This window comes from Homo sapiens, chromosome 7 (assembly GCF_000001405.40).
Source record: "Homo sapiens chromosome 7, GRCh38.p14 Primary Assembly".
NCBI lineage: Eukaryota > Metazoa > Chordata > Mammalia > Primates > Hominidae > Homo > Homo sapiens.
Window position 1 is genome coordinate 91,275,983 of NC_000007.14, and position 14,612 is coordinate 91,290,594.

Genomic DNA, 14,612 nt, shown 5'->3' on the forward strand with positions numbered 1-14,612 from the left:
GGTAGACAAGTTGGGGTCATTTTGCTTTGGAAGGGAGAAAAAGGGAAGGGATATAATGAAAACCAAAGTCAACTACTCTTTCCTGGGGCTAGCCCAGGTGGGAGTGAGTAGAGGAATTGAATGGAAACATCTCTCAAATAGAGACATAACCTTGGATTTTAAATATGACCTTTCCTCCTCCTCCTCTAAAAAGGAAACAAATTTCAAGATAATAGAGAATTGGACAGAGAAGTCGAATGTCATCTCGGAAAGAATCTTGGACTTGCAAGAACTGGCTTGAATCCCAACCAGCTCTTAGCCTCAAATCCATTTACCTAAAATAGTAATAATAATCATTTTTCACTAATTCAGGTCTGTTGGGGGAATCAAAGAAATGAAGTACATAATGACATTTTTAGCACTAGAGTCAGCTACACATCTTAGTCTTCTTCACCTTGCATATTTCTTTTCTCTCTTCCTCTTCTCCCTGTTCTTCTCCCCCCTTCCTCCTTTCTGTCTCTTCTTTCCTCCACCTCCCTCTCTCACTCCTCCTGCTTCTATCACTCACCCTTACTGCTGATGTGACTTGAAAAGGCATAAAGCAAACTAATGCCATATTTTTCCTGCATCTCTTTTCAGGCTAAGCATGTTTTACAAGACTTATTTACACAAAAAATTAAGATAATGGGCAACCTTAAGGTTAAATGACACAAATGTACTTTATTAATCAACCGGTGATGTTGCTCTTAAAGCATAAGTGCATCTCTATGCATTAATGTATGCTTTGGGATATGCTATAGTCACACGCTACATCGTGATGTTTCAGTCAATGACAGACCACATATATGATGGTGGGCCCATAAGATTATAATACAGTATTTTTGCTGTTCCTTTTCTACTTTAAGATATACAAATACTCACCATTGTGTTATGGTATTCAGTACAGTACAGTAACATGCTATACAGGCTTGTAGCCTAGGAGCAATAGGCTATACCATATAGCTTAGGTGTGTAAGGAGGCTATGCCATCTAGGTTGAAGTAAGTACACTCTATGGTGTTCTCACTGTGTTGAAATTGCTAATGATGTGTTTCACAGCACATATCCCCATCATTAAGAGATGCATGACTGTATAGTAGTTCCCTCCTTATCTGTGGTTTTGCTTTCTGAGGTTTCAGTTACCCAAAATCAACCACAGTCCTAAAATAGGTAAGTACTATACAATACACTAAGATATTTTGTGAGAGACCACATTCATATACCTTGATAGTATATTGTCATAATTGTTCTATTTTATTATTAGTCATTGTTGTTGATCTCTTTGTGTGCCTAATTTATAAATTAAACTTCATTCATCATAGATACATATAGAAAAGAACATAATATGTATGGAGCTCAGTACTATACCATTTCAAGTATCCACTGGGAGCCTTGGAATGTATCCCCTATGGATAAGGCGGAACTACTAATTAAATTTCAATTTAATTTCTTTACAACCCCTAACAAATTGACCTAATTGGTAGGTTTTATACTTGAGTAACATGGAAACAGCTCTTTGAGGCCACTCTAATTCATGACCAGGAAGTGATTCATAATTTCCCTTCAGAAATATACTCCTCTACTGGATTGATAACAAATCGAACAATTATAAGAATCCTTTGTTTGTCCTTGTTGACTATATTGCCAAAGGGAGCTTACTTCACAGCAATTATGAAAATGTTCCTTTGATACAACTGATATGGACTGAACATATTTTGATGCATGAAGTTGAGCAGGATTGAGGGCTTATATCAAAGAGATTGATTAGTAATTGTATTATTTCCTCATATAAGAATAGCTAGCCATTTTGGTGCCTTGGTCACCTCTGTGATCTAGTGTATTAGTTTTCTATTGCTGCTGCAACAAATTACTAAAAACTTGAAAAATACACATTTATCATCTTACAGTTCTATAAGTGAGAAGCCTGGCACCTGTCTCACTGGGCTAGAATCAAGGTGTTGCATTGTTATGTTTCTTTCTGGGGGCTCTAAGGGAGAATCTGTTCTGTACTTTTTCCAGCTTTATTTCCTCTATTCTGGAGGCTTATTCCATAGCTTGTGACACAGTTTTCCTGTCTTCAAAGCCAGCAACATTGGGTCAAGCTCTTTCTGTCTGATTCTCTCCATTTGGAAATACTTGCCTGCTTTTAAAGACTCATGATTAGATCAATACAGGATAATTCCCCATCTCAAGGTTACTAGCCTTAATGACATCTGCAAAATACCTCTTGCCATGTAAGGTAACGTATTCATAGGTTCCAAGGATGAGGGCATACACATTGCTGGGGGCCATTATTCTATCTGCCACATCTATGTTTAGCTGTTGGAGCTAGAAAATTTTTCTTTTAGAAGTATTCCTTCCACATTCTCATTCTTTACGATTACTTTTTTTTTTAAGTGGATTCCTGAATTTCTTCAGTTCCCATTTCATTCTTTCAAAGTATGTTTCTGTCAGTGGTCAATTCCCCATTGATTTCCCCTCTCCTTTTACCCCATTTTCTGTTAAGAGGTCTGCAGATCAGTCCTTGTGCTCTACCTGATTTCTTTGTATTTCAGATGTCATCTTTCTTCCTCGTCTTTGCACATATTCTCTGGATTGCTACCCTTTTTGTTACTCTATATGTCTTTTCAATACACATTTCTCTAAATTCATATTTTGTGTCTGTCCCAGAAATAGATCAGAAAAAGATGGAGATTGACTGATGTCAACCTTTTTCTCCCAAGTGAACACATATAACCCCACTGTTTTTTTTTAAGCTACAGATGATATAATTGTATGGCTTTCATCAGAAGCACATCTGTCAAGTGATTACATTTTTGCTCTTTAGTGAGGGGCTGGATGGGAGCGAGAGTTGATATAGTTAATCTCATCTCCGATTAATCTAGTATGTATCTCTAGCTGTGATTATAGATTTTAATTCTTCATGAAGTTACCATCATATTTATAGAGACAATCTTTTTCTCATTATCTTTAATTTAAACATTTTGTCAAAAAAGAAAAGAAATCTCAATTGCCTGGGTTGCATTTTATACAAATTCAGATAATGAATACACCTGCCTTAGTTTAAAATGTTGTGTTGACATTTTTGGAGAATAAATTTTCCTGGCATTACAAATGCATCCTTAAAAATGTTCTCTAAAATGTAATTTTTAATCCATACTAAAAACCAACTGCAAGTTTTTTTCTTCTATCTACACTGTTACGGCTGGAAGTGTATATTTTCCTCCATATATATAAATCTATATATATATATATATATATAAATCTTTCTGAAAATATATGCCTCTTAAAGCAATTATTTAAGAAGAAGATTCCAAATGTTCATAGTTCTCCCCGAATATACATTATTTTTAAGAATGTGATTTTGGAGAAATTACACAGAAATATATCAAAATTTCTATAAATCAATAATAAGTTAGCATATGCAGTTATCTTTTAATACCACCATCCTTTATATTCTTCTAAAATTTTACATCATTCATCTTCTTTATAGCTTTTTTCCCAAGGAGGCATAATTCAGGAATAGACCAGAGGTCACTTGAATGTAGTAATGGCTCTATAAATAAAGAATATGTATTTTAATAATATACAGCTTCATTAGAGACAAACTGAATTAATGTAGGAGTTGTAGGGTGTGTTTGTAGACCTCAGATAAGACTGGTTACGATGGGGATATTTATTCAATGCTAACTAAAATAAAATCAGATGATCTTCAAAATATACGGTATTTATCAGAGGTGACAATGGGTTACTAGGAATTCTTAAAATTGAATGTGCGTAAAAATCACTCAGAGAGCACGTTAACAATGAGGATTTCTGGCCTCATTTTCAGAGGTGCTGATTTTGTTGGCCAGGGAAGAGGTTCGGGAACCTCCATTCTGGTGATTCTGATGCTGGATGTTCTTGAGTTCTCTTTGAAACACTGGATTAAAACACAACTTCAAGATAAACCCCTAGCGATTTGTCTCACCAGCAAACTCCCTCTTATAAACATGTTGTGGAACTTCACCAGTGAAGTGAAGCTATGAGAACCAGCTTTACAGAATCCTCAGTAGGGAGCAGATCTGTTCTGTCCACATGGTCTTTGTCCCTAAAGGTCTAAATCAGAAACAGTCAAGTGGCCAAGGCCACTGAGTGGTTTACTCAGGTCTAAAATTCTTTTAAAATTATTAGCTTTTTTTTTTTAAGGGAGGAGGTTGAATTCCACAACTAGAGATTAACTTAGAATTATCCCTTTAGTAAGAAGACTTTCAGAGTAGTATCAGTTAACTGACCCCTAAACAGTGAAGGAGAAGGATACAGATTCTCTCTTGCTTAGATAGGGCTCTGACAACAGCCACAGAGAGGGAGATAGTGCAGCAGGTGGCAGCTTGATGTGCAGGCAGAGGAGGGACTTAAAAGGCTCCTGGTATTCCCCAGCGTGGGCCTCTTTGCTTTCAGTGGGGCTGCCATTTGCAGAAGAAGCTGTGCATAGAGACTTCTCAGGCAGCTCAGCTTCCCAACCTTTCTGAGTATTTTGTTTGTTTAGGTTTTTAATACATCTGACTTCTTAAAAGTCCCTTCCTTCCCAGGGAATTCACTAATCAAGGTATTACTCTATTTATTTCCATAAACAAATCCTTATGAAAGAATTCATTCATTAATCAAGAAATGTGATCATTTCCACTGTTGTACCCAAGAGCTTCAAAGCACCATTGTTGTTCGCATCAGTTAATCCAGGTAACTGGGAAATGTGAGTAAGACAGGACTAAAATATATCCCAACTGATTTTACAAGATTAAAAAAAAAAATCTAAGATATCTAAACTCATGTTGTCTTAAGCATGTTAAGAATGTAAAGAATGTTAATTCTTCATAGGAAAGAATCACAGCACAGAGGAAAAGACTGCCAAATCTTTTTAGAATAAAATAATTTTATTCTAGAACTTACTGTACCTTGGAAAGTTTCAAGCAGCCCCTTCCTTTGTACTGTGTAATATACTGGAAAGATACACCTCCTCCAGGTATGTAGGATGCCATGTTAGAGTCTAGCTAGGGACTCTAGCTAGGGAGTATGGAAAACAATTTTTGATTTTTTAAAATTAAAATGTTTATGTGAATAAACATTTTGCATAGTGTTTATATAAACATTTTAATGATGTGTAAATTAGTCTATGAATGATGGATGTTGAATTTCAAAGATAAATATTTATTGATGTAATTAATTACTTATACATAGTATTAATACTTAATTCAGAGGGCAGTTCATGACTAATAAAAAAAAGAGTTGGCTATTAGATGGTCATTTAGGAGCAATTCCTTCCAAATAGCAAATTTTGCTAATTTCAAGGCTAAGGCACATGCATTTTTAAATGAGATTTTCAAAGAAAGTTAAAACAGCACTTGAATTAAGTAGAGGTGATTGAAGTGATAATCAAGTAAAACCTTTATCAAGAAAATAAAATTGACCCATCCCCCACACATTCCACCTACCCAACTAATTAAAAAAAATTTTTTTTTACTGAGATACAATTCATACACCATAAAATTTAAAAATAAGATTTTGTAGTTTTTAGTATTCCAAAAAGTTGTACAATACTCACAACTACCTAACTCCAGAATATTTTATCACACTAAAAAGAAACCCTGACCCATTAGGAAGCACTCCTCATTTCTCCCTCCCCCACCCTCTGGCAACTACTGATCTAGTTTTTGTCAGTGTGGATGTGACTATTCTGGATATATCAAATAAAGAGAGTCATACATGTGGCTTTTGTGCCTGACTTCTTTCACTTATCAGAATGTTTTCCAGACTTGCACAGGTTTGAGCATGTGTCAGTACTTCATTCCTTTTTATGGCTAAATAATACTCCATTGTATAAATATAGCACATTGCTTACCTACTTATTCCTACTTATTCATTAATAGATACTTGGGTTGTTGCTATTTTGAGCTATTATGAATAGTGCTGCCATGAGCATTGTGTGCAAGCTTTTGTGTGAATATATTATTTTAATTCTCTTGCATATACACTTAGGGGTGGTACTGGGTCGTATGGTAACTTTATGTTTAATTTTTTGAGGAACTGCTAAACTGTTTTAACAAAGTGTCTTCAATTATTTTGTATTCCCATCAACAATGTGTGAGGGTTCCAGTTTCTCCGCATCCTTGCCAACGCTTGTTATTGTCTGTCTTTTTGATTATAGCTGTTTTAATGAGCACGAAATGGTATCTCACTGTGGTTTTGCTTTGCAGTTTGCTTCTTGTCAATATTCTGAAACTGATTCCATGGTAGAAGGGAGGGGAGTTCATGATGGTTTTTATACCTCTGAATAAACTGAAAAAGGGGTGATTCTAGAATTAGTTAGATTCATTGCTTACCTATATATTTATATACCACTCCATTAAAAAAGCCTTCATATGGTTCATCATAATGCATTGTATAACATAAATGTAAAAATATATTAGAGTATTAGCTGAGTAGAAAATATAGATAAGGTAACTTGTAATATGCTATGGGCATATTATAAGGTTTTTTATACTAGCCAGAGGTGGGCTAAAATTTTGTCTTTGAACTTCCTAGGAGCCAAACTGAAATGATAAATTGAAAACTCCATAGTGCTCATAAGATTAAAAACAAGTTAGAGTCCATTGCTGACTATTGTGGAGTCATTATCTATTCTCTGCATGAGCCCACCAATATCAACAGGACCCTGAATCTTGACACATTCCTTCCCATTGCTGACTATTCTGGTTGATAGAAGGGTTAAAATCAGCCTGTCACATCCATCTGTTAGTACCATGTCTGCTCCTTGGAACCTTTCTCAATAGATATGTTACCCTACTTTCTATCAGCAGCAGTGCAGTTATTTGAAAGTATAAGGCACCTGTAAAACCTTGACTGTTCCTTCTCCAAGCTGAACACTCACTCTTCTTATGAGAAGCATCAGATGGCTCCCCATTTTCTAAAGATTTAGGTCCAAACTTGCTGGCCCCTGTTGGGTCCTTTAGCCCCATTTCCCCTCAGCCCCTCATGAAATCCAGGCACACTGGACTCACTGTTCATTTTGCCTGGCAGGTCCTTGTCTCCTCCATTCCCTGTTCCCTTACCACTGAGGAAATTTGAACACCACTCTTCAAGGGCCAAATTCAGATGTTATCTTTTCCTGGTAGGTTCTTAATACCCCCAGGCAGAATTAATTTTCTTTTCTCTGTGTTCCCATAGCACTTTTAAAGCAGCAATTGTATGAATACATCCTAGTGATTTGTTCATGTGTCCATCTTCCCCAGTAGACCGTGATCAGTTTCACAGGAGAAAACTGTCTTTTTTATATCCTCAGTGCCCAGCACAAAGCAAATACTCAACAAAGGGTAGTTGCATCAAATTGACTTAATAAATCATTCCTGACTTCTCACTCTCCTGTAAACATGTGGGTTTGTCACTGTCTCTCTTTAAAAGTGACCCCCAGAAGGAAAAATCTTCTTTCAGATGTTAGCCCATCAATGTGCTAAACACCCATCTGCTCTGGAAATTATATATTTCTATTAATGTCACCTCAGGCTGCATGGGTTTTGTTCATAGACACATTCACTATAGCATCCCAGAAAACTTTGCTGAATATTGTGATTATTTCCCCCCTGGGCAAACCACTAACAGACTAGATTTTCCTTTGCTTCTACTTTCTTATCTAAAAGTAAGTCCTTATATGTATCCTTGATACATTTAATATTGTTTCCCACTAAAAAAGATAACTTCATCCTTTTGAACTAAAACAGTACATTTCAGTTTTGATTCTATCATCTGTTATATCCACTCTCTCTTCCAGTTTGATGTCACCTGTGTATGGAAAGATAATGTGAAATATGTGCATTTGCCTTCTTAATAATTATTAAGTGTTTAGTAAACAAAGAAAAAATATGCAGTACATCTATTTATTGGGAAGTTTTTGTTGTACTTCTAGAATCCAAGATTCTAAAATATCACCATCAAACCTTCCAAAGATGCATGGAGATATTCTTTAGATAGCTTTGGGGAAAACATGTTATCATTAAATATATGTGTCTCTGTCTGATATGTTTCTAAACCCCACAGAGCCTCTTATGTGCCCCTGCTATGCACTCATGTAGCATCCTGTACCTTCATTATCATAAAACTTGTTACAGTTTATGTAACAGCTTATATAATTGTCTCTCCTCCTTTCTAGTCTACTAATTTCTGTTTTACTCAATACCCCAAAAGCTTAGTACATTACCTGGTTAAAATTTTATTTGAGTCAAATCTACTTTAGATCAATAATGTAATATGTATAAATACTATATTATTTTGTGTGGTTCAACACTGAATCGGTAACTAAAAAGAGGGTTCCTGATATTTCAAAGTAGCCAGAGACATTATTTCAGGGACAGCTGAGGCAGTCAGCAGATTAAATTATCTATCTGATAGTACCATTTCAAGTTTACCATAAACAAATTGCCTTAGTCCGCTTTGTGTTGCTATAACAGAATGCCTGAGGCTGATTAATTCATAAAGAAAAGGGGTTTATTCAGTTCATGGTCTGTAGCCTGGGAAGTTGAAGAAGCATGGCACCTGCATCTGCTCAGCTTCTGGTGAGGGCTTTTCATGCTGTAGGACAACATGGCAGAAAGTTAAAGAGGAAATGGACACATAGAAAGAGGCAAAACCCTAGGGGCATCTTGGCTTTATAACAACCCACTTTCTCAGGAAGTAATCCATTCCTGTTAGAAATAATTCAGTCTCAAAAAAAGTGAGAACTCACCCCAAGAACAGCACCAAGCCATTCATGAGGGATCTGCCCCCCCTGACCCAAACCCCTCCCATCAGCCCCACCTCCTGACATCACTACATTGGACACCAAATTTCAACATGAGTTTTGGTGGGAACCAACCACATCCAAACCATAGTGCTAATCAAATAATGACTTACATTTAGCAAAATTTAAAATCTCCCAAAATATAGACTGTAATACTTTATCAATAAACAGTATTAATTTAATCATTCCAAGGTTTATTAGTATTTGTTGCCCTGAAACTTCTATAGAACTCTAGGCTGCAATGCTAAATCAACTGGGAGATCTTAGGCACTATTCAAGAGGTTTCATCCCTGAAGCACTGAAAAGATCTTATTAGAAGCCACTCACACCATGAAGAAGGTCCCACAGCAGGAAGTCTAAGGAGAGTGTTATGGTGAGATTTCAGTAAAATTTGGTTTTTAAAAATTCCACTCTGCAATACATCCCCATGATATAAATATTCCTAATTACCACAGAATTTCAGTTCCTTCATACAAAATGCTGCATTGCAATTTAGGGCTGCTTAAAATTATCTTAACTTGTCCCATTTGGCAAACTAAGCCAGGGTCTTAGGAAATGTGGAGCTTATAGTATGCAGCAATGTGGGCAGCTTTGAGAGCTCCCTCCTTCCGGATCTGAAAGAGCCTTTTTGTTGACCCTACACTGAATTCTTATGTTTGAATGTATCACCGGGATGCAACAGTCAGCTTCTGGGCTAAATGGCAAGAGAAACTTCTGGAACACCAAGACAGAAAAATGTAAAGTGAAAATTATCAAAACTAAAGTTTTTCTGATATGGTTTGCTGTTTAATGTACATTCAGTTAAGCAGCTCCAAAGAAAAGTAGGTTTTCTGTTAGCAAATGCTGAAGACACAAAAATACCATTCCTGTCTGCTTTCTTTCTTGTTGGTTAGCTATTGGATGCCATGAAAAATAAAATATGTCTCTATTTCCTGAGCCCACCCAATATTTTAAATATCTTGACATCTATATTTATGTTCTGTCGAAAAGGTAATAATACGAAGGATTTATTATAAGTCCTGAGCTTTCTTCTTCGAATCACAGCAGCAATTATTAAGGATTCACATGCACATGGCATTGAGTCTGTGCTATGACGTAGTCTTGTTTGCCAGAAATTGACAGTTGAAAAGTGACCCCATTAGGCAAGAAAGATTTTTCCTCCTTCTCCTACCACCATAACAAATAAAGTACAAGAAGTAAGAAAATGAATAAACATTACACTAATAAAACGCCACAGAGACTGGAAAACTGTGAAGAAAATGTGGAAGAGGGAGGGGAAAAGATAAAGAGGAAGCGGACCATTAATATAAATAGATTTTAAAAATGATTGCATGTGGCAAATGAGATCACACTGTGAGTCAAACATGCCTTTGTATCTACAACACTGCCAGAATTCTCTTTTAATGAGGACCAAGGCATCTCCTGGGGAATAACTTACCTTAGGCCAGAGTCAAATCCCTCCAGCTTGGTGGAAGATCAGTGCTCAACTTTCAGGAGTGGGATGTACACCAATAGTACCCGTGGATCTACCCTTAAAGCCAACTAAGAAGGCAGCCTGAGAATGAACACTGAAAGGGCTGTTTTCATAAAAAATCTGTAAGAGATTTTTCTTTTTTCTTTTACTTTTTATTTTAATGAAAATCTTTGGCATGCTGTGCCACTACATTGATAAAATGCACCATGAAAAGTGCCCTACTTCATTGGAGAATTCATTATGACTTCGTGGAGCAGAAAGAGTTGGCTCATTGGCAGCAATTTGAGTGGATTTGGTTCGCTGGAGGTATCATGTTACTGCGTCATCAGTGCAGGTGGGGCTGACTGGCTTTGACAGTAAAAGGAGGTGGCCCAGTGCCAACAGGGGCAGCAGAGGGGCTGCAGGAGTGCCTTCATAGATGCCGCACAGATGCTGCACACTGCCAGAGCAAATCTCAGGGAAGGAAAGATGGGGCGTCATACAGTGATTGTGAAGATTATGCTCTTGAGCACATGTGAAACACCTTTCGGAGCTCCTGAATTTAGTAGGCAAGGGTGAATTTTGAGAATAGACTGAAAGAGTTAACCATAGTTAAGCCTGCCTGGGGTGTAGGTTATGAATAGAGTAACATGTAATTTATTGTACAAACAGAGATGCCTTTGAAAATGAAGGATTTGCTACTAATAATTACACCAAGACAACAGATATAAACTATGACTGCCCTGGACAAACTGGAATGCATTGTCACACTATGAGGGACTGTCACCTTCGATTGTTAGTTTTGCCATGCTTGCTCTTTTATTCTAACCATGTACTGTTTTAAAATCAGAAAAATATAAGACACTATAATTTACCAGAAGAAATAAAAATCGAGTACGAGGGCAAAGATAGCAGCATAATGTTTACATTGTTAGGGTGACCCTAGTCCCCCCAACCATCATCCCCCTCCTGACCCCACATCACAGTTTAGAAAATTACATCTGCAAATTATTCAACATCCACTGGCGACCCCAGAGCAGCCTACCTTCCTTAGCAAGGCCATGCTGTCCCAGCAGTTCTGATGTGCCCTCACTTTAGTTATTTGATTTTCTGCTTTTTCTCTCTGAGATAGTAGCCTTCCAAGGTTCAAAGGGACATTTGAATGTTAAAAGCCTGGAGGTAAAGTTTACAAACACAATGCTTCCTCATCACAGCTGGCCACATCAGTCCTGTCAAAATGCTAATGGTAGAATGTTTCTTTATAAATAGAGTACCCATGAGATCAAGATCTTAATTTACTTTGTTCCTAATTCACAAAGGGAAGTTGCCTTCTTTTTTAAAACTAAGTTGAGGTTCTGTCTTTAGTAAATTCTTACATGTAGCTGGAAATTTCCATTGCAAAGTGTACTTGTTTTGTTTTAAGCTCTTTCCAAGTGACTTTATAACTTTTTTAACGTTTTGGCGTCGGCACTCTTCCTCTGTCCACAGAGCTGGTAAAGACAGAATTATGAACTCTTCTGGCGTTGTCCCAGCCCACTTCTTGGAGCCTTTATGAGAGAAGAAGTTTGGCAACTCACCTCCCAGTGCCCACAGGGGTGCAAATGAAGCTGGAGCTGAAGCCATCTATGAGAGCAGCTGGACTGCCAGTCCAATGACTATAACTCTGATAGCTCCACACAAGTTGAGAAGCAGCTTTTCAGCTGTGACAGGCAAGGCCCAGCAGGGGAAGTAGCTCACTGTCTGGTTTGATTTAAGATCACTGCCAAAAAATTTTCTTCATTAACTTCACAGTTATCTAAGCTCTATGAAGGCAGGGGTTTTTGTGTTTTGCTTATAGGAGTATGCTCAGGGCCTAGAACAGTGCCTGGGTTATAGTAGGAGCTCAAAAATATTTGTCGAATAAAAGCATATTTCTTCACCTTCAAAATGTCAAGATGGGATATTAATAAAACCTGTATCCAGGACTGATAGTCAGCTGATTTCCATTCTGATATATCATTTCAGTGTCACAGGATTGTTGTGGTGATTGTATGAATTAAAACATGAATTAAAGCACTTACAATAAAACCTGACACATATCAAGTGGTTAATAAATGTCAGCTGCCATCAATTTCAAGGCACAGAGGTTGACACCGAGGAAGATTGGGGAACACTGTAGGATCCCAGCAGGGGGCACTCCTGAGTTCAAGAAGCAATAACTGGTTCCTGCTGGGTCCTACTTGACTATGGGGAAGGACAGTTGCCAATGATGCTGTAGTCCTTGCTTCATGGGCCCAGGCTTACACCTGGCCAGAGGTCATACATTAACTTGTCATCAATAAATGGCATTTATGCCATCTGCACATGGATACTGTTCTCTTAGTGAGGAGATGGCAAAGTTCTGAAAGAATGGATCACAGGGCAGATAAGTTTTATCAGAGCGTGGGACAGTGCCCAAGAAGGGATAGCCCAATACTGCCAGGGTGGGGCACTTTGGAGGAGAGTGGCTAAGAGTGAGTGGCACGGGGAGCAGGGTGTAAGCAGAATAGGTAGGGGGGCTCTGCCACTAAAATATCTATTGACTACCCAGGAATAAAATGTGTTACAAAGATGAGAAGCTCAACAGTATTCTCAGAAGGCTTTTCAACTTAATTTCCCTGTTCCTTTTCCTAATTAGAACCTTGATCAATTTAGGATACAGTATATGGTACTCTTTGGTTAGGTTTATGTGTATGTAAGAATCAGGTCAATTGTAGAAGGTTAAACTGGATTAGAATGTATACTATTTGTGCATTTGGTAACAATAATTCTTATACTTCCCATTTGTATAATGCATTGTATATATTATATACAGATAATAATCTATATTATATAGAGGTTATATTATATATAGATTTCTATATATAATCTACTTTGTTACTATATATAATCTATATACATTACATATAAAATCTATTTTGTTACAATAACTCTGTGAGGTTTATAGGGGATGTAGTATGAACTCTATTTAACATGTGTAGAAAATAAGGCATGAAGAATTAAGAGGCAAGGATAGTGGTAAAAGTCCCTGGGGATGGGAAATGGCATTTTCGTTAGTGTTCTACTAATCGTCAGAGCAGGGTTTTCTGACTTCAGATTCAAAAAAGATTTTTCTTTTCAAGCATACTTGGCTACCCCTCACCCACAGATTAATTGAAAAAGCTTCTGGGCTCCACCAGTTTTGCTCCCTATTAAATATACTAATTGAAGAGCAAACTAATTCTGTCTCTAAACCAGTCATTCTAGAGGATATGCAAGATGACCCACTGAAGTGTTGGAAGAAAATGCTAGGATTTACAGTTTTATATTTTTTGGATGTGTTAAAATGAACATAATTCATTACTACAGTATACCTTAATACATATATAAGCACATATAGCAATACATGTGTAGAATTTATAAGTAAGTGTATTTACAAATATTGAGATGCATACTTTTTTTTTTTTGGCACAGAACCGCAGTTTCAAGAAAGACTGGCAACCATTGTTCTAAACTGGTAACTACTCTACCTACAATGTCTGCATTGTTTTTAGCTAAGCACACTTCTCCTTTTGTTTTACCTTATGTTTTGTGCAACAGAGGGTGGCAACGAGCTGCTGTACCCAGAATAACAGAAGCTTTGAGTGAGAAAGGCCTGGAGGGATCAATTCGCCTAACCCCTTCATTTGACAGGGGAAGAAACTGAGGCTTACAGGGGTTAAGGGATTTGCCCAAGCTGAAAAGTTGAGGTTGAGCTCAACAATATGGGAAACGGATGGAAAATCCAGTTAATGCTTAGCTAGCCATGGTAATGTGTCATGGAGTTGGCTTGCAGAAATTAAATCCGTTAATAATCCCCAAACCTTATTTTAGCCAGAACTTTTAAATGCCTCACCTATCAACCCTTTTTTAAAAGATAATAATGTAATGGTTTTGTTTCTCTGGGCACCCATGAATACTGCATTAAGCAAAAATGTCACACATACAGTGTGCCCTGGGTATCTGGTTATAAATACAAATGTGGAGACTACTTATAGCTATATAATTATATATATATCAATTAGAAAAAACAGTTGCATTGAAACAAGTATACTACCCATCCTGGCCTGTTGTAAAGAATGGAACAAAATTATAATATTCTCCAACAGGCAAATTATTGCTCACTCAAAATCCACTGAATCTTGAAACACTACCAGTTTTCTTCTAAAGGGAATTTCATCTCAGAATTTAAGACCAGATCAATGCTGCACTATTTATCACATGCTAAATTCTAGTAAGTATTTGTTTCTATTTCTGGACTCACCATTCTCTTCCATTAATTTAGTCATGTACTTCA

At 37.0% G+C, this 14,612-nt stretch overlaps 1 long non-coding RNA gene across 1 annotated transcript, besides 1 other annotated feature; it reads right to left on the reverse strand.

The window, feature by feature from the left end:
* Window positions 1,191-1,240: a silencer, noted in NCBI's record as "silent region_18364". NCBI's record gives its function as "represses an Ori minimal core promoter by ATAC-STARR-seq in GM12878 lymphoblastoid cells {active_cell/tissue: GM12878}" and the evidence as "EXISTENCE:reporter gene assay evidence [ECO:0000049][PMID:35858748]".
* Window positions 8,517-11,450, reverse strand: LOC124901695 (uncharacterized). The gene is made up of 2 exons (XR_007060425.1): window positions 11,325-11,450; window positions 8,517-8,618 (listed from the first exon to the last, which is right to left on the reverse strand). It is a non-coding gene; the product is annotated as an uncharacterized LOC124901695 (long non-coding RNA).
* Between the last annotated feature and the right edge of the window lie 3,162 nt (window positions 11,451-14,612).